The sequence below is a fragment of the Homo sapiens genome, chromosome 4, assembly GCF_000001405.40.
Source record: "Homo sapiens chromosome 4, GRCh38.p14 Primary Assembly".
NCBI classification, from domain to species: Eukaryota; Metazoa; Chordata; class Mammalia; order Primates; family Hominidae; genus Homo; species Homo sapiens.
Window position 1 is genome coordinate 102,055,840 of NC_000004.12, and position 20,919 is coordinate 102,076,758.

Below are 20,919 nucleotides of genomic sequence, written 5' to 3' on the forward strand. Positions count from 1 at the left end.
TCATTTTGATAATTTACTTTTCCTTTAGGGAGAGAGATGACAGTTTGAAAGAATGTTTCTAAATTGATAGAGAAGATAATTAAGAAGAATTGAAAGGTAATCACTTGGGAAAAAAAAAGATTAGGGCAGGACTAGTGGCCATATGTGATATTAAAGTCTGTTACTTACTCAATGCTCTAAGCTACAGGACTCAGTGTTATAATGACACAAGAATCACTGGCAATGAGAGAAAGGTTTAGATTATAAAATTATTATAAAGCTTGTGTACTTATTTGAATTGAATAATGCAAAATGCTATCAAAAGTGAAACAGTACAAACACTCCCTCATCCTACTGGTGAGACTGTACATGACAACACATTCCAGGAAAGGAGATTGACACTAAGTATACATCAATAGCTTTAAAAGTGATCATACTCAAAAATTATATTTTTATGAGTCTATGCCAACCAAATAAATAATGCAGCCAGTGATTCACATAAAAGACTTAGAAGCTCCAACAACATATAATTGTGGAGAAAAGTGGAAACAATAAAAAATCCCTTAGTAAGAGAATGATTAAATACTTTATTGAATATACAAACTTTGGAATATAATGCTCCCATTAAAAACCATTTTTCAAAGAATATTTAATGTTATGGAAAGATTCTTAGGCTACATGACTAAGAGAAAAGAGCAGGAACTATGTCAGTATAACCCTAATTCAGAAAAAAGGAAAGAAATGGATACTTAAAAAGGACCACCAAGACGTTTACGATACCTGTTTCTGAAGAGTATAATAATGAGTGGCAGTTATTTCAGTTTTCAGTACTCTTCTGTATTTTCTAAGTGGTGGAGAAAAAAAATCATGTTCTAAAATCACAATCATTAAAATAAAACATCAAATACCAGGTGTGGTGGCTCACACCTGTAATCCCAGCACTTTGGGAGGCCAAGGCAGGCAGATCACTTGAGGCCAGGAGTTCGAGACCAGCCTGGCCAATATTGCGAGACCCCATCTTTACTAAAAATACAAAAACTAGCCAGTTATGGTGGCGCACGCCTGTAATCCCTCTACTCAAGAGGCTGAGACAGGAGAATCACTTGAACTCAGGAGGCGGAGATTGCAGTGAGCCGAGATCACGCCACTGCACTCCAGCCAGGGAGATGGAGACTGCCTCAAAACAAAAACAAAAACAAAATGAAACAAAACAAAACAAACAAACAAATCTCAAAGAATATATGCAACCCTAAAGTTAAGGGGATGCAGAGGCCTTACTTGGAACTTACAAATAAATCGATAGACCAAGCATCTCCTAATGGACCTGAGCTTATATACCTACCAAGTCCCAAATTAAATAACAAAAAATAACTTAAGCTTTAAATCTTTGTCACTAGTTCTCGCTCTCTCTCTCTCTCTCTTGCTCTCTCTCTCTTTCTCTTTCTCTCTCTCTCTCCTGCTCTCTCTCTCTTTCTCTCTTTCTCTCTCCCTGTTTCTCTATTTCTCTCTCTCTCTCTCTTTCTCTCTCTCTCGCTTTCTCTCTCTCTCTCTTTTTTTTTCTTAAGCAAGGTCTGCTCTGTCACCTAGGCTGGAATTCAGTGGCGATCTCAGCTCACTGCAGCCTTGATCTTCCAGGCTCAAGCAATCCTCCCACCTCAGCCTCCCGAGTAGCTGGGACTACAGGCTAATTTTTGTAGAGATGGGATCTCTCCATGTTACCCAGGCTGGTCTGGAACTCCTTGGCTCAACCAATCCACCTGCATCGGCCTCCCAAAGTGCCGGGGTTACAGGTGTCAGCCACTGCACCTGGACCCTAGTTATTTAAGTCCTATTACTGAAAAGTTCTTTCCAAGTGCCATAAACTAATTTGGTATGATGGTACAGTATGGTGTGACATCACATTGATACTTATAGTATGACATAGTACTTACAGCATGGTATATCTGGCATGGATTGAAATGGTATGCATTCCATGGGAAAGCCTAATTATAAAGTGGCAGAAATTTTTTATATTGTAAAAGCAATATAGTATTATTATAGAAAGTTAGAGATCATAAGAAAATAATTACATATGTAATATGGCATCACAATAGAATAACACATATTTTAAAATTTCTTTTCATGCTTTATTATATATACAACTTTGATACTGCTAAAATTTTAACGTGTATATAATTTTGTATCCTGCTTTTGTACTTGTTATAATATAATAAGCACTTTCTATGTTGCCACAATCTTTATTTTTTAAATGACTACGTGATTTTTATTAAGTAAATATTTTCTATTTTAATTACTTTTTGTTGGGCAATCAAGTTGTTTTCTTTCAAATTTTCAATAAAGTCCTTCCAGCCAGTCTCCTAGTAAATAATTTTAATGAAAAGCCCAATTTACATTCTTACCTACTCTGTAGATTTATATACTCACTACAATGGGTTGGTTGATGTTTATATGACCAATATTTGATCAAATGTAAATACTTGTAAAGAGAAATTTTTTAAAAGGAATTAATTTTAAAAACTGTAGTTTACCTTAAAGCTTTTACACTAAAAGACAAGAGTCTACCATACATACAGTTAGCTGTCTGACAAATGCTTTTTAATGAAAATTATATTAAATTCATACTAACTCTTCTGAAGGTAAACTAAAAAAAATACAAAATTAGGAAGACAGAAAACCTTTCATTACTTCTTTTTACCCATCAAATTCTTATCTAAATGCAATAAAGAAATCTTGTAAACCCTACCAAAAATTACAGGTTGCATGTTTTGGTTTGACTTGTATACCCTTAGAATAAAAGGTAGTAAAGTGCCTAAATCATTTTTCTTTGCAGCTTCTCATGCTAATCCTAATTTATCAAGACAAATGCTTTAATCTCTTTACTCTTAAAAAAAAAAAAGGTAAAAGCAGATTTATGTAAAAATAGATTCTGAAGAGAAAAGACAAGTCAAGAAAGCCTCTCTGTTGAATGGAAATGGTGAGAAGGGAAAAAGTAAAAAAAAAATAATAATAATAAAAATAAAGAAGAAAGAAAGAAAGCCCCCGTGGGAATCAGAATTATTGGCCACAGAGAAATTTTCTGTGCACGTGAATCTTTTTGGAAAGAAACCCTCTCCATGTCCCTGTTCCAAGATTCACTGTTACAGTCCTTCTCAAAACTGAGAGGAACACTACAGGCCATTCCAGAACAATCCCAAGGCTCAAGTCCTCTTCAGACATATAACATTTGCTATCAAATACTTGAAACCTCTTTTCCAGAACAATCAATCCTAGTTATATCAACAAATTCTTATTACTGTAGAATTTGAATGCCCTCCCCATTTCCCAAATCCTTGTTAATATCGTCTGGATAGTCAAATTCATCTGTTTCTTTCTTGAAGAGGCAGTCCCAGAAATGGGCATATCCCTCCAGGGATAGCTCACTGGTATACAGTTAGGTAGGACTGGCTATTCTCTCCTTTCAGACTCTGTGGGCATATTTAGATTTGATAGTATATTAAGATGTGTTACCTACCCCTCCTGAAATAATACAAAAAGTATGTTGCACTTAATGGAAATATGTAAATGAGAAGGTACAAACTCAAATGAGTTCCAGCAGCCAGGCAGGTAGCAGACATGTGTTGTCATCCAGGAACTCTAACGTGTGGCAAGGATTGCAGTAACCTAGAGAGTACATAGCATCCTTAAAGTCATGCAGGCCTATTTATGTCTTTAAACACCATGGCAGACAAGGGAAACACTGAGTTCACCCATGGTCTGCCAGTTTGCTACCACTGTGCCTCAAGCCAGGCCACAAATTCCTTTTGTGCTGAGCAAATAATACATAGCATGCTCCAAAATAAACTCTTTTGAAAAGGAAGCATTTCACTACAAAATGACCAATTATTTATTTAAAATCTTTCAGAAATAAATTTTCAAATGATCCTAAGCCTTTTGTGACATTTGGATGTTGGTTAACGTCTCCTTTCCCAAAGATAGAAAGACTGTTTATTCTAAAGATATTTATTGTTAGTATTAATGTTAACATTTATCTAGCTTACTGTGTGGCAGGCACTATGCTAAGTATTTTGTGCACGTGATCTCTGATAAACCTCAGAAACAGAAGACAAAATTGGCACTGCCATCAACTAGCGAAGTATATAACCTTTGCTACTGCCCTTTCTCTCCTTGTCCTTTTCTGTCTTAGTAATGAGACACTTTTTTTTCACCCATAAGACTAGTTTCCAGGCACCTCCATCCTTAGAAAGAAACTCATTAAAAGTGTGCTGGTTTATTCTTTAACTGCTCATAGAGAGTTAAGAAGAAGCTACTCCAATGGCTTATTTGTAGAGTGCTTTTGTTCCCAGTTGTCTACACCTGGACTTTCTGTTAATGCACCCTCCCCTTGTATTTTAGACAGAGCTCGGATAGAGAGTCCAGCCTTTTCTACTCTCAGGGGCTGTCTAACTGATGGTCAGGAAGAACTCATCCTCCTGCAGGAGAAAGTAAAGAATGGGAAAATGTCTATGGATGAAGCTCTGGAGAAATTTAAACACTGGCAGATGGGAAAAAGTGGCCTGGAAATGATTCAGCAGGTAATATTGGCCCAGTGTTTTCTGGGACATTCCCTCACTTGTGGAGCCCCTAGTTTGTTAATGTTTAATTTTCATGAGGAATACAGGTAACTGTTCTTTCATTTTTAACTAGCCACTAAGGAAGATACTTCAAGAAATCAAATAATGTTTGAAAATATCCAGATATTATGTTCACCAGCCATTGGTGAAGTCAATCCTCTAACCCAGTATACCAAAGCTAATACCTAATCAGCTTATAATACCTGTCTTTAGTAGAGTGAGTGTTTTTTGAATCTTGTTGCTGAAATTAAGGTAAAGCATCTTTACACTGAAGGGTGTATTATGTATGCCAGGCTTAAAAGGAAAGGGGAGTGAGACAATGATTAAAATCACACTAAGCAACAGTCCTAAATAAAATGCAATAAGTATTTATCTTCTTTCTCCTTAAACATTTATTTTTATATACGTACACATACACACATTTACATATATATGTTCAAATATTAAGTTAAAATAAGCTCATCTTCTGTAAATATAACTTACCTCCTGAGATGGGATTGGAGGACATGGTTCTGAGATGAGAATGAAAACAAAATATACCACACACACCCCTTGATATTCCTTAGTGAGAGATAACACGGTCATATTCCCATATTCCATCTTTCACTCCAAAAATATTTTAACAATTTTTTTCTTCTTATCACAGAAATCCCATTGCTTCAGAACCCAGTTCTAGATAGCTGTTTGATTAAACACATTTAATAAGCAAATTTAGGCCAAAGTATAAATAATTGATAATAGCTTAATATTGTAACTTTCCCAAGAGATAATTTTTGTTTAAAAGACGATGCTTAGGAAAACATTTTTAAACAATAAAAAAGAATCAAAATAGAGAAATTTCACACAATATAGTAGATGGGCCAGGGGACTTTCCCAGTACATCTGAGATCATGCCTTGTTAGAAACCACCTGTCTCTAAGGGCAGTTATGGTTGTGGGTTGGTGGCTGAACCTCATCCAGATTTTGTGACACTAAGCAAAGGCAGTTGTTATGTTGCCAAATAAATGCTAAAGAATACTGATTGTAGAGTTCTGCAACTCTTCATTGTTCATGATCAGAATTACAATATTGCTTCTCAATCATGTCAATGTCATCACCAATACACATGTGTTTAGGTGCAGACCTACAAATCACTTTCCTAGCAATGTTAGATTTTATAGATTTTGTTGAAGTAAGTCAATTGTATTTCATCCTCCTAAGACCCTTAAATAATAACGTTTTCCATTTAGAGTTATCCAACCTAAATATCATTTTGGAAATTATTTCACTAGTTGTTTCATCAAACCCTGGTTGTTTCTATTTTGTTTGTATATTTAAATTTAATCTTGTTTTTAGGAAGAATTTAAGGTGCTTCATACTCACTACTTAGAGACTGATCTGACTCACCTAATAATAAGGTTATAATGGGATAATGAATATTGTTCATGCTTATTTTAAAAAATTATTTTTTTAAATAAAGGCCAACAGATACTAAGATTACTTTCCATAAGCAACAAAGTTTAATGACTTGGTCTGAATTCTGTCAGAGGAATCAGTCAGTCCTTAACATAAGGGACTGGGCCAAAATCCAAACAACAAAAAGATGAATATTCCTCCTGTTTCCTCAACACACACACGTGCAAACAAAGATGCATTCCTATGTACTTTTCAATATTTTTCTTGCAGCTTGGAAAAGTATTTGTTTGTATCCTATGAATATAAATGAAGTTATCAGAGGTAACTGAAGTCATATTATTATTGATGAAGGAATTAATCTAGGAAACTAAGAAAAAAATGGCACAAACATGGAGTTAATAGGGGAAGCTGGTTTCCAGAATAACTAAGAATCATGTAGAATCCCTGGCGTTGAAGATGAAATGGTGGAGAAGGGAAAACCTTGCCCTTCACTGTCCTCACCCCTACTCACAGTCACAGAGTAAGAAGAAGAGTTTGGCACCACTGGTAGGAGAGATCTGTAAGGCAATGGAAACAATTAAATAGGAAAAGTGGTTTCTAGGTTTCCAGGAAAATCCTGAGGAAAGAGTGCTATTCTTAAGTTCTGTTCTAAAACAAGATTATTAAATGTTAGCTTGTTTTACATTTTGCTTAAAAAGATAATGTTCAATATTTGGAAATCAAAGAAAGATCACAGATGTGCTAAGAAGAGGAATCCTGTTATGTTCATCTGCTTTTAAGTCTCTGATTTTTAGAATTAGAACACTGGGAAGGAATGTGCCATACAGAGGCTGAGATGGGCTCAGGCAGCAGCAAACCATCACTATGTAGCCCTTCTGCTTTTGGACACCAAATAGCCAATACAGACCCCACAAGAATTGGGTTGGCAAAACAACTTCCCAAAGAATTGCACTCTAGGATCCAATCTTGACTCTACCACTTATAACTATGAATTGGGAAAGTTACTGTACCTCTCTGTACCTCAGTTTCCATATCTACAACATGGAATGACGACATTTTACATCCACTTCATTAAGCTGTGAGAATTAAGTAAGATAACGTGGAAAGTATCAAGGATGGCAATTGAGACATCATAAGTAGCAAATTAATATCAAGTAGCAGCATTGGTATTGCTAATAGTAGTTGATGTTTTCATCTTGATCCATAAAAATTTGAAAATCATAACTATGTCCTGGTTGTTTCCACATTAAGGAGAAATTACGACAACTACGAGACTGCATTATTGGGAAAAGGCCAGAAGAAGAAAATGTCTATAGTAAGTAAGATTCGCCTGCTATTCAAAAATAATAGAGTGATTACGTTGAAAATTCAAGGACTGTGGAGATGATTGGGCCTGAGTTCAAATCTAAACCTCAACAATTCCCAGCTGTCTAACCTGGAGAGGGTCTTAATCTCTGGTAGTCAAATTCCTTGTCTGCAAAATATGCATCTATAATTATATATGCATCTGAGGGTGCTTGTGTAAGTTAACATATAAAATACTTATCATATTCTCTGGTTCATAATGAAAGTTCATAATGAACCAGAGAATATGATAAGTATTTTATATGTTATAAATATAATAAATGCTTGTTACTCTCTTTCTTTTGATGTCTATGTAAGTTGCAAATAGGACAACTCTGCTCAATTTTTTAATGATCCATTATATAAGAAATCAAGGCCAGGCATGATGGCCCCCACCTGTAATCCCAGCACTTTGGGAGGCCGAGGCGGATGGATCACTTGAGGATAGGAGTTCAAGACCAGCCTGCCAAATGGTGAAACCCCATCTCTACTAAAAATATAAAAATTAGCCGGCCATGATGGTGCATGCCTGTAATCCCAGCTACTCGGGATGCTGAGGCAGGAGAACCCCCCCGGAAGGCACAGAGATTGCAGTGAGCCAAGATCACAGCATTACACGCCAGCCTGGGTGACAGAGCAAGACTCTATCTCAAAAAAAAAAAAAAAAAGAAATGAAATGATTAAAGAGACATGCTTTTTAATAAGTTAAAATATTAATACAGTGAATTCTCACAATTGTCAACATGTGTATCATTTTAAAATTTCTAATAATTGAAAGTTGCTTTGGCAGTGGAGGTTAGGGGAGGGGATACTAAGCCAATCAAACATTATTAAGAAGGTAAAACTTTTGCTAAAATAAACAACACATTCCAAAATTAAAAATAAATTACGTTATCACTATCTGACCACTGTTTCCCCAAGACTCTCCCCCTGCACAGATAATTAAAAACTAGCAGCCACTAAAAGAGTGTGAAAGCTTCCATCTCTTCCATTTTCATTAATATTGCATAGCTTTTAGCTAGTCCTTCGTGTTGAAATTCATTTCTCTTCATATTATACAGTTATCTTTTTTTCTAGAGAGAATTCTTAAGCACTTTAAAATGTTTTCTAAAACACAAATATACTTTCTAAAATAATTAAGGTCATAAAGACAGGGCCATCTTACAGACACCTCCATTCTAATATGAGTAAGATTAAAATTTTAATGATTTATAAAATTACAAGTTATATAAATAATTTTACCAAGGAGCATTAAAAAGCTAACATTTATTATCACCTATACATTATTGTTTCTTACAATAACTCTATGAGGTGGGCAATATTTCCAGTTTATAAATAAGGAAACTGAGGCCCTGAGAAACTGAAAAATTAAAGGACACATATTAAGTGAGAAGCCATTCTGTTTAATTCAAAATCAATGCTCTTAATTATCAGTGCCTTAATTATGAATCAATTAGTTCTCCTTTCAGCCGCACTGGAATAAATAATACTACACAAATCTTTCTATTGCACAGGACACTATTACCAGGCAAATATATGAAGCAAGTGATATTAGGAGGCAGACAGTAGGTAGCCAAAGACTATGAATAATTCTAGAGACAAGCAGTACTCCTGAGGTGGGTCTCATTATGGCCCTGGTCTCTGCCAGAGGAATATTTCCTGACTACACTCTGAGCAAAACAAAGAAGTTCTGTTGAACTGAGAAGACAGAGATCTTAGTTCAGGGCAGCTGAAGCTGCTAGAATATGTGTGGTGGGTCTCTGAGAGCAGGTGGCTGTGTAGAGAGGTAGCCTAAGAGGTCCATGGGAAGGATTCCACAAGTCTGTGGCTGAGAGATGAGCTGTACATGTGTAAAGCAAAACAGTCAAAGCATGCAAGACAGCAACTTCTAGGGTATTGAAAGCAAAAGAGAGACACTAGAGGTTGAGCAGAGTTGAGGAAAAAGCCAGCCTGGGAGTGTTTAAGTTCTGGCCCTGTCAAATTAGGGAGATCTTAACACCTCCATAAAATACCTGACATTCTGCTGTGACACCCAAAAGATGTAATGAGTAAGAACTATGATTTAGAGTAAGATCTACTCTAGACATGCCCTAACAAAATCTCAAACCAAGCCCCAACAAGATCTATCTGGGAGACAGAGTTTGTAGGCTGACTGAATCTACAAACTCAGGGCCTTAAAAAGAAAACACCTTGGGCTTTCTATCACAAAAAGCCCATGGTGAAAAAGAATAAAATTAAGTCTATACAAGTTCTTGACAGTAATTGAGTTGCCTACTAAAACGAGAACTACCGTCATCAGAAGAATATTCTAGAATCCAGAATATACAACACATTATCTATAATGTCCAGTGTTCAATTAAAAAAAGAAGACATACAAAGATACAGGAAACTGTAATCTTAATGAAGAAAAAGAAACTATAGACGGAACCTGAGATGTTGGATGTTGTTGATCTTAGCAAACAGACTTTAAAGCACCTTAAACACTGAATTAGTGAAAAATGTGGTTTAAAGGAGAGAATAAATAGGGAATCTCAGCAGAAAAAAAAATGAAACTATATAAAAGAACCAAGTAGAAAGTATAGAAAGTAAAAGTACAATAAAATATATAAAAATTAATCAGATGAACTTATTATCAAATTGGAGATGACAAATTAAGAGTTAGTAAACAAAATTAAGACAGACCAATAGAAATTATCCAATTTGATTTTCAGAGAGATAAAAAGACTTTGAAAATGAACAGAGTCCCAGCGACATTTAGGACAATATAATGCATTCTAAAATGCATGTAATTAGAACCCAAAAGGAGAAAAGAGTGAAAAGAGCCAAAATATTTTTTAAAAAATGATGACCAAAAACTTGCCAAATTTAATGCAAACCACTTGCATATTGCTGAAAAAACTTTTAAAAACCAAACTTAGCATAACTGTTAAAAGAAGGACTTCTAGGCAATTTATTTTCAAGCTACTTTAAGCCAAGGTAAAAAGAAATTCTTGAAAGCAGCCAGAGAAAACACACGTTACATATAAAGGAAAAAAAAATTCAATAATTTATTATCAGAAACAATGGAGGATTAAAAATACAATAACATCTTTTTTTTTTTTTTTCTCAAGACAGAGTCTCGCTCTGTCGCCCAGGCTGGAGTGCAGTGGCACGATCTCGGCTCACTGCAAGCTCCGCCTCCTGGGATCACGCTATTCTCCTGCCTCAGCCTCCCGAGTAGCTGAGACTACAGGCACCCGCCACTACGCCCGGCTAATTTTTTCTATTTTTTAGTAGAGACGGGGTTTCACCATGTTAGCCAGGATGGTCTCGATCTCCTGACCTCGTGATCCGCCCGCCTCGGCCTCCCAAAGTGCTGGGATTACAGGCGTGAGCCAATGCGACCAGCCAATAACATCTTTAAAGTCCTAAAAAATTTAGAATTCTAAATCCAGAGGAAATATACCTCAAAAATGTGATAAAATAAAGACATTTAAGATAAATGAAATGAGATAATTCATAGCAAAATTACAGTAGAATAAATGCTTAAAAATATCATACAAGGTGAAGGGATATTAACAAACTCAGATTCTCACTGAGGGAATCTGTGGGAAAAAGAATACTGAAATTATACAAAGCAGGTAGATATAAAATATTATGTTTTCCTTTTTCTCATAAATTACTTCAAAGACAATTGTTTAAAGCAAAAATAATGAAACTTAAGTTAGAAGTTATATAATATGAAGAAGGAAATATGAAAGCAATCATGCAAAGGACAGTGGAGGCAGATAAATAGAATTATATGTTTCCAAAATTGTTACGTGGTAAAGTTTAAAGATTCAGTTACAAAGTAGGAAGAGGAGAGAGAGGGTAAAGTAAGCAGTCTGATGTGTCAACTATAAGGCATGAAGTACTAAGGGGTATACTACTGTCTCAAAATCTAAGTTAAAGATTCATGTTTTATTTTAAAAATAGAAAGAAATCAGTTAAAAAATAGATAAAAAGAACTATATTTAGGAAACCTATAGAGGAAATAAAATAGATTATTAAAAAACTATTTGATTCGCCAAAAATAAAGCAGGAAAGTAGAAAAAGAGGAACATAAAAAAATGGAAAAGTGAGGAACCAAGAACAAGATGGTAGTATTTAACTAAGCCATGTCATAATTATATTAAAGGTGACTGAATTAAATGCTTCTTTTAAAAAGCAGACATTTTCAGACTGGAAACAAAAGCAATATCCAACCTTATGCTGTCTAAAAGACATATATTTTAGATATAAAACACAGATAGATAGTTTGAAAGTAAAGTATGGTAAAAGGTTCCTATGACAATAGTAAACATAAGCATAAGAAAGCTGGCATGGCTATATCAATGTAAGACAAGATAAATTTCAAAATAGAGAGTATTACAAAAGATAAACAAGGATATTACATACAGATAAAAAGGCAGTTCACTAGAAAGATAGAGCGATTCTAAATATCTGCGTTATATAAAATAATTTTATATTATATATATGAATTTTACTAAAACTCCTGAAGCAAAATCTGACAGCACTCAGAGATGTTTTCACTTCTTTCTTAGTAATTAATAGAACAAATAGACAAAAATCATTAAAGATACAGAAGACCTAAACAACACTATCAGCTAACTTGACCCAATTGACATTTACATAAATAATTTTTTAAGTCAGAATACATATTTATTAAAGGTATACATGGAGGTTCACCAAGATGAAACATAGGCTAGATGATCAAAAAAGTTTCAGTAAATTTCTAAAGACTGAAACCTTCAGAGTATATTCTCTAAAAGATTTCAGTCTTTTAGAATCTTATATTCTCTTACCACAACAGAAGTAATTTAGAAATCAATTAAGAATTATATATCTAGAACATCTCCCAATATATTTAGGAATTAAACACAACATTCAAAATAACATGAGGGTCAAATAAGAAATCATAAGAAAGTATTTCAACCTGAATAATAATGAAAAAATATCAAAATTTGTGAAATGCAGGTGAAACAAGTATGTAGTTAACAGTTCTAACTAAAGGGAAATGTATTACTATAAATATTATACTAGAAAATAACAAAAAGCTTTAAGTCAATGATTTAAGTTTCCACTTTAGAAAAATAGAAAATGAAAAGCAAACCTTCAAAAAGAGGTAAGAGGAGAGAAATAATTAAGATCAGAAATCAGTAAAAAAGGAAAGAGATAAACAAGAAAATAAAATCAAAAGTAAGTTGTTTGAAAACATAAATAAATTTGATAAGCCCATGGGAAGAATGATCAAGGAAAAAAAAAGACAACAAGATACCTAAATTAGGAATTAAATTGGGTTACTACAACAGATCCTACAGACATTAAAAACATACTAAGGGCCAGGCACAGTGGCTCTGGCCGGGTATGGTGGCTCACGCCTGTGATCCCAGCACTTTGGGAGGCTGAGGCAGGTGGATCACCTGAGGTCAAGAGTTCAAGACCAGCCTGGCCAACATGGTGAAACCCTGTCTCTTATAAAAATACAAAAAATTAGCGAGGCGTGGTGGCATGCACCTGTAATCCCAACTATTCTGGAGGCTGAGGCTGGAGAATTGCTTGAACCTAGGAGGTGGAGGTTGCAGTGAGCCAAGATTTCTCCACTGCACTCCAGCCTGGGCAACACAGCAAGACTCCATCTCAAAAAAAAAAAAAAGATACTAAGAAAATATGTAGTTAACTTTCTGCCAATACATTTAACAACTTAGACCAAAAAGGACAAATTACTTGAAAAACAAAACTTGCCAAAATTGACTCAAAAAATAAAATTCCACACTCCTCTGAGTATACCTCTTTGTACAATTCTCACTTTTAGAACTTTGTTAATATTTTACTTATTCAGTAAATGAGGACAAGGCAGATACAGGAGGCAAAATGGAATATAAGCAAAAAAAATGTATTATGGATAATGAGAGCCAGGTTTTTTATTGTCTGAGAAATCAGTTATAATTAAGGAAAGAAGAAGGGCTAGAATGAATGTTATGGTATTGCACTGGAATTGGAAGTAAAAGTATAACAAATAATTACAGAGAGATAAATATGGAAATATAGTTGTATGTACAAGTATGTATATTTCTTTAACTCTTTCAGCTGAGAGGACCTAGAGGCAGTGACGGCCCAGCATCAAGGAGCACATCTAGTACCCACGTCTTAGTTTATGAAAGCAAATGGCCCAGAAGCATGTGAAAAGATGCTCAATATCATTAACCATTAGCAAAAGGCAAATTCAACTACACTGATATACCAATACATAAAAAGTATAATGAATTACCATTTGAGAAGACTGTTGGTTAGGATGTGGAACTGGATATGCATTGTATGCATTGCTTATGGGAATATAAAGTGGAGTGATAACTGTGGAGAAGTCAAATATGCACTTACCATATGACCTAGTCATTCCATTCCAGGTTTTTTTCCAAGACAGATAAATGCTTGTGTTCACACAAAGACTTGTTCACAAAAGTTCGTGGCAGTTTCATTCATAATATCCAAACTGGAAACAATTAAACTGGGTTATTACAACAAATGCAAATGTCCAATGGAAGAATACATGCTTATACTGTGATATATTTATACTATGGAATACTATTTAGCAATAAAAAGGAATACTTACTATTATAACAACAATATAAATGAATCTCACAAACATTACACATACTGAGTGAAAGATAACAGATAAAAAGGATGGATCAGACACAAGGGAATCAGACACAAAGGAATACTACATGCTGTAGTATTCCATCTATCTGGAATTCTAGATAAAACTAATCTAGACAAAATTGTAGAAGTAGAAATTCTTAGGGGTGGCAAATATCCAGGTTACCAGCAGCAAATCCATACAGGCCTGCAGCAACCCCAATTCTTGTCTCCTCAGAAGAAAGAATTTGACAGAGGGGCATAAGGCAGCAAAAGAGACTGAGGCAAGTTTCAGAGCAGGAGTGGAAATTTATTAAAAAGCTTTAGAGCAGGAAGGAAAGAAAAGCATATTTGAAAGAGACCCAAGCAGGCACTGTGGAGGTCAAGCTCCCTGTTTAACCTTGATCCTAAGACTTTATATGCTGGCCAACTTCCAGCATCTTGCACCCCTTTCCCTTCATTCTTCCCTAAGGGTGAACTGCCCACATGCACGGTGTCCGCCTTACACTTGGGAAGTGAGCATGCGCAGTGTGTTCAGAAAGTTGTATGCATGCCCACATAAGGCTTTCTTTTCTTTTCCAGTGGAATGCCCCTGGAAGGTCATACTCCACCATTTTATCTCTTAATGTGCATGCTGGAGCTCACTCACCTAATTACTGAGAATTTATTGGAAGTTGATTACCAATTTCAAGTGTTTTTATCTGATTGGGAAATTGCCTCTGCCTGGCACCTGTGATCAATTATCACTTTAGTGAGGCAACTCTGGACCATCAGCAAATTCCCTCTCCCCGGCACAGGCTGCCAATTATCATTTTTAGAAAGGCAGTGTGATAACTGCTGAACCATCACCTAATGGTCGCCTGACATTCCTGGTGGGTGGTGTGGAGCCCTCTCCCACCTCGCTCATGCCTGGCTAGCTACCTACCTGCAACAAAATCAGATCGGGGGTGCCATGAGTAATGTTTGAGTGAAGGTTGACATAAGGGAGAATTAGGGAATATTCTACGGAGATAAAATGGTCTCTATCCTAATTAAGTTGGTGGGTACATGGCCATATGTATTTCTCAAAAATCATCAACCTCTTTCCTTATAAATAATTGAATTGTATGTAATTATTCCTGAATAAAGTTGATTTTTAAAAAGAATGAAGTAGCTCAAGCTAGCGGAATATCAAGGCAGGGCAGCAAGCTTGTGTTAATGTCAAACATATCTAAAATCATAATACCTTGAGACAAAGGTTGGGAGAGGAAAGGACAAAAGTAATAAAAGGCATGGTTTCACTCACAGTGGCTGGAGGTAGAGAAATTTGGGGTTGATATTTTTAGATCAGAATGTGAGATTTCATAGCAACCTCAAAGACAAGAAGTAGTCCAACAATTAAAAAAATAAGAGAGAGAATTTAAGATAAATATTGAACAAAACTCAGTAGAACATGCTTTTTTTTGTCTTCCAGATAAACTCACCATTGTGCACCATCCAGGTGGTAAGTGCTTGGTATTTATTGAAGGATCTAAGACTAAAACAAAGTACAGAGTAAATCAATTTCAATATTAATGTAAACCTAATGTGATTAAGCAAGTCAGTGTAAACATTCACATAGATTTTATATTTATATGCAAAACAACTTGACATCCAAAATAAACGTGAAGCGACTATAAAATAGAAACACTGAAGGCACCATAACGTAATAAAAGGACCGTGAGTTTGGAATTCTTGATTGATCCTGCTGTTCTCAACTTACTAATTGTGACCTGTGGCAAGTCACTTACGCTCTGTGGGCCTCGGTTTTCTCATATGCAAAACGTAGATAAGCATTGTACCATGGGGAATTGCTATAAAGACTGATAATGATATATGTAAATGGAAGCTCGTGCTTGATACTTGGGAGTTACTGATAAAGCAAATGAAATTTGAGAAACATTTGAGAGGGTAACTCATTTCCATGTGATGGGGGGATTGTGTGCTGATGGGATAGTAAGGAGGAGCTAGACGTCAGCTAGGGAGCTGTTGAATATTCTAGAAGCAACTCTCCATAGCCTGGACCAAACCACTGACTGTGAGAATGAAGAAGCCATAGAACTGAGCCCTGTGGCTGGGATGAGAAATGGAATGCCAGTGATAAAGGCAGGAGGAGCAGTAGTCTAGGAGAGCAGGGAGTAGAAGGCGCAGGTTTTTGTGGAAAAGTGTGTTTTGTAATTGGCCAATCCTGGTGAATGTGGAAAAGAAAAGGAAGAAGGAGTAATCAAGTGGAGGTTGTTACTCAGAGGTGTTGGAAAGATTGTTTCTAAACTCAAGTGACTCCTGTAGGTCCTCAGTATCCTACCCAAGTCAATCCACATGGGCAGGAGAAATTAACAGCACATGCCAAGGGTGCCTTTTCGGTATCCCCCTTTTATCTTCCTAATAATTTTTCTTTTCACCCATATCTTACCTTTGTAGAAATCATTTTTAAGAAGTACTGAATAAATAAATCATCAAATTTGTGAATGAATAAAGAGGTAATAACTGAGTTTGTATTTCTAGGTAAGGAAACTGCCCACAATGAAAATAAGTTTTATAATGTACACTTCAGCAATAAGGTAGGTTGTATTTATTTTGATTTCTATAAAATGCAAAGAAATAACTTCGTTAAAAAAGAACATGAGAGCCTTCTATCCTGTCTATGCTTTTAGACATTCTAACAGATATGAACAAAATAGGTTAGGTGTGCCTTTGTGTGCAAAATCTATGAGCATTTATTTAAGGAAATTATTTGGAAAAAAAACAAAGAGGGAACTCAAAGGAAAAAGCCACTGAGGCCAAAGTGTGGCTAAATTCAACATGTACAGACCAAAAAAATCTTAGAGGAATTATCAATACATGTGTTTTAACAATAGAAATATGATAAGTCTACTGTGTTTGAATCACAATGTATACAGTCCTTAAACTCTAGGACATTAGTAGGGAAAGTATAGCCCCAAAATATTATTGATTTAAATATGCATTACTTCACATCATAGAGTTAACTGAAAATAAATTGCTAACGAGAAGCTAATGATAACACTAAGCAAAGACAACAGCAATGGAAAACCAAGACCAATCCAAGACAACACTGATAATGTCCTGACTACAATTTTTCTTCATAAAAATAATGTTATTCCAACTATCTGCATATATAATGTAACACACTTGCGCTGCTACCAAGAGTCATGTAGCAGCTGGATTTCTTGCTAAAATCCTGAATTAGAGTCTTTGCTAACTTCTTATAATGAACGAATTTTAATTTTCCAAAGTTTAATAACCCTTTAAGTTCCTTGTATATTTCAAATAAGTCATAAGTAATCATAAAAATCATTCACCCTTAAAAACGAATTGAAGCAGTTGCATTTTTTATTCTTCTGTAGCCCACCACCAAGCTGTGTGTATGTGCATATATGTATATATATATATACACTATATAATATATAGATATATATTATAGACTCATTAGACTCATTCAAATGTAGCAAAAGTGGGTGCATTATGGCCTTAGGGCTTATGAAAATATCAACCAAAGATTCTTCTATAAGAGCTGAAGGATTGCACAAACAGGGCATATATTTTGGAGAGGAGATTTTGAATAAGAGGAAAAGAATACAAATTCCCAATGCTTAAAATGTTCTGCAAAATGGAAAGAAAATTTGAATTCAAGGACTCGGATGCAGTTGAACTTTACAATGATTCTGTTTCCTTTTAAAATGGAAGATTGTCTTGCCAGTTTTCTCTGCAAAGCTGTTTTTCCATGGCTGTGAAAGGCAACTATAACTTTGTCATATTTCTTTGTTCAACCTTAAAATAGGGACAAATCGAGAAATACTAGCTCTATATCTTTATTTTTTTTCAGCTTCCTGCTCGACCCCAAGTTGAAAAGGAATTTGGTTTCTGTTGCAAGAAAGATCATTAAAGAAGGTAAAATATTAGCTGTGTATATTTTTTAGAAAATCTAAAGCAGCCTTGTTAGGGACTTGAAGGTATCATTTGTCTAAAAAACAGAATTTTTTAAAGATTTCATTGTCTTCTCCTGAAAGGATTAACATGTATTTTTCAAGCTAAAGGTGATTGCTCTGTAGAAAGATTTATGTACAGGGGTGATTTAATGCCAATTAATCAATTTAAATTGATGAGCTATTATTCACTAATACATTTCCTATTTTCTCATTTCCAGGTTATTATAATGAAACTCACGAATCTACGGACATTTTGCTTTCAGGGTGAAGCAAGCTTGAATTTGGATTGCCTGCTCTCTTTAAAGCGAATTCATACTATGACAGCAGAAACAAAACTTCAGATTTCAGAATTTGTTATTGGCAAAATTTATTCTCATTATACCTGCTTCATATGGGTATATTACTATTAAAACAGAATACCATAGAGTAATTGCATTATTTGAAAATTCTCTCATTTTACAATGCACTTCACCAATGAAACAGCTAATTTCCATTTTGAAAATTAAAAGAAAACAGCACAGAGAAGTTAAATGCGGTGTAGCAAAGTTATGGGGTCTGCTTGAGGGCACTAACCTCAACAGATTATTCCTCCTCTCCTTAGAATAACCATGAAAATACAAATTTACTTAGCACATTTTTGCTTTTTAAGTAGCTGGTTCATTTTCTGAATTTCTCACATTCAGAGTTCCAGTCATTATTGTTACATCATGTTTGCAGAAACCTTGTCTTATTTAGTGTCTATTTGCATATAACCCTGAAAACATTATTATTTGAAAACTTTTCTATATCTCAAATTAATATACATTTTCATAACCTACCTTTGTATTAAGACTTGCAATTTTATCAATCTATTATTTCTTAGAAACAATTTACTAGCTTAGAATAGAAAGCAATGTTATCGTCATATAATTTTCATGTACAAATGCCACAAATAAATTGAATGTTTAAAGCTATGTCTGAGTTTTTAAAGTAAATTTATAAGAATTAGCCAATAAAATTGCTTCTCGGCCTTTTGGCTAAGATCAAGTGGAGTATTGGCCAATAAATTTTTCTGCTTACCGGTTTAAAGGGAGAAGTCTACCAAAAATTGTTTAAAATAAATAAACTTGATTAATATTACTATATAGGGCTCATATAAACACAATTTTTTTTCTAGCTTCTAAACAGTGACAAGAATATACATTTAAAGCCATGCTACAAAACACTTATCATGGGTTTCTTATAACTGTTAACACTCTCAAAATAAGCTCAAGTTTTAAAAAATAATACAGTAGCTTGATTAATCCCTAACAAAAAGTGCTTTTGATTATGATATTTGGAAATTCAGTCCACAGTTTTACATCCAACATTTCAAGAACTGACATGTCCTTTTACACACTAAGCCTCCATTTCTGTGGGTTGTCCCATCCAAAGATAAGAAAAAGAAATAAGACATTTCCTTGGAGATTTGGAGCATTTCTAAAAGAGCCATAGCCACTGCCAGAAAGGAAAGGCCCAAATGTAAAATCTTCTGAAGACTTTGAATTGAATTTTCAGAGTTCGTGTATCTTATCTTTTTCATCATCCCTTCTTCAAATTAAATATATTCCCAAGCCATTACTCCTAACTTAAGCCAAGAGCTATCCCCTTCCTTAGGTTATTAATTTACCAGCACTCTGAGTTCTAGAGAAGTTTGAACTGGTATTGAATGTTATCAAAAGAGTTTTATTTTGAATATTAACTTGCTTATTTTCTACCTAGTCAATTTTCTAGGATAACAAAGAGGAAGCATTTAAACTGGTAGATTCTTAAGTGAGATAATTATGCTGCTCTGGACATTTGGCAATATCTGGAGACATTTATTATTTTCATGACTGGGGAAGAGGTGCTCCTGGAATCTAGTATGTATAGACCAGGGATGCTGATGAACATCCTATAATATGCAAGACAAAGAATTATCCAGCCCAAACTGTCAAGAGTTTTGAGACTGGGAAACCTTGATTTACACTATAAAGTAAAATGGGACTCATACTTAAAGCTATGTTGTTAAAATAAAATCAGTTAACTTTATACAGAATTTTCTGAAGGTAGAAAGTGCTATGTTAGGATAAGTGAATGTCATTATTTTGAAGTGCATATGGCTTAAGTTTAAATGGATCATTAAAAACAGTATTCAAAAAATGGATGAGTCTAATACATTTTCATAAATCAACATTAGAAGTATTCTGCCAATGGAACCTCTAATTTTTAGAACATGAGACTATTCTCAGTATTTTCTAATGAGAATGACCTTGTAATCTGAGTCATTATATTCTATTTGTGCACTAAGTATTTGCTCATCTGAGTTCCTTCTTGTTTTCTCTAATGCTCAGGGTGTCTGATTTTAATAACTTGGACTTACCTGAATTTTTTCTTCATACTGCTTTTCTAAAGGATAAATATTTAGCGGAGAGCTCTGCATCATAAGCCTAATTTAGTGAATCCCAGCTGATTAGCACAGAGCTGATATGAGCCCCTATTCATAGCCCTCTCTGTAGCTATACCTGCCAGCTACACTTTTTGGCCTGCCTTATTTTGTGGAGTTCACCTTTAAAAGTAGGGCAACCACATAAAAGAACGCAAAGGGTAAGATTCTCAATACCTTAGACTTCAAATTTATAAATGATAGTGTATCATTTCCTCAATATTCTCATCTTCACAATGCAGATGATAATGTTCCTTACATAATTTTGTGGGTATTTAGTGACATTATGTATTTAAATGAGCAGTTACTACATTCAAGAGCATGAACTTTGAAATAAGACCAAACTAGTTTGAATCTTGTCTCAGCTATGCACTAGCTGTGTGAACAAAGAGTTTTTCCATATCCTGAGCCCTATTTTATCTTTGGTAAAATGGGAGTAATAATACCAACATTAGCATAAATCGTTTGAGAATTAAAGGTAGGGAGGTCACTTAATTAATTTACCATCCAAGGAGGACACTTTGGATCA

At 34.8% G+C, this 20,919-nt stretch overlaps 1 protein-coding gene across 3 annotated transcripts in view; it reads left to right on the forward strand.

Moving 5' to 3' along the window:
• Nucleotides 1-18,973, forward strand: part of BANK1 (B cell scaffold protein with ankyrin repeats 1) — a 284,083-nt gene extending 265,110 nt beyond the window's left edge. For all 3 annotated transcript variants that reach the window (NM_017935.5, NM_001127507.3, NM_001083907.3), the window contains 6 exons: nucleotides 4,372-4,550; nucleotides 7,236-7,299; nucleotides 15,436-15,465; nucleotides 16,506-16,561; nucleotides 17,845-17,909; nucleotides 18,166-18,973. In NM_017935.5, the coding sequence (NP_060405.5) occupies nucleotides 4,372-4,550; nucleotides 7,236-7,299; nucleotides 15,436-15,465; nucleotides 16,506-16,561; nucleotides 17,845-17,904 (389 nt within the window). In that variant the 3' untranslated portion in view covers nucleotides 17,905-17,909; nucleotides 18,166-18,973. The remainder of the gene's footprint in view (nucleotides 1-4,371; nucleotides 4,551-7,235; nucleotides 7,300-15,435; nucleotides 15,466-16,505; nucleotides 16,562-17,844; nucleotides 17,910-18,165) is intronic.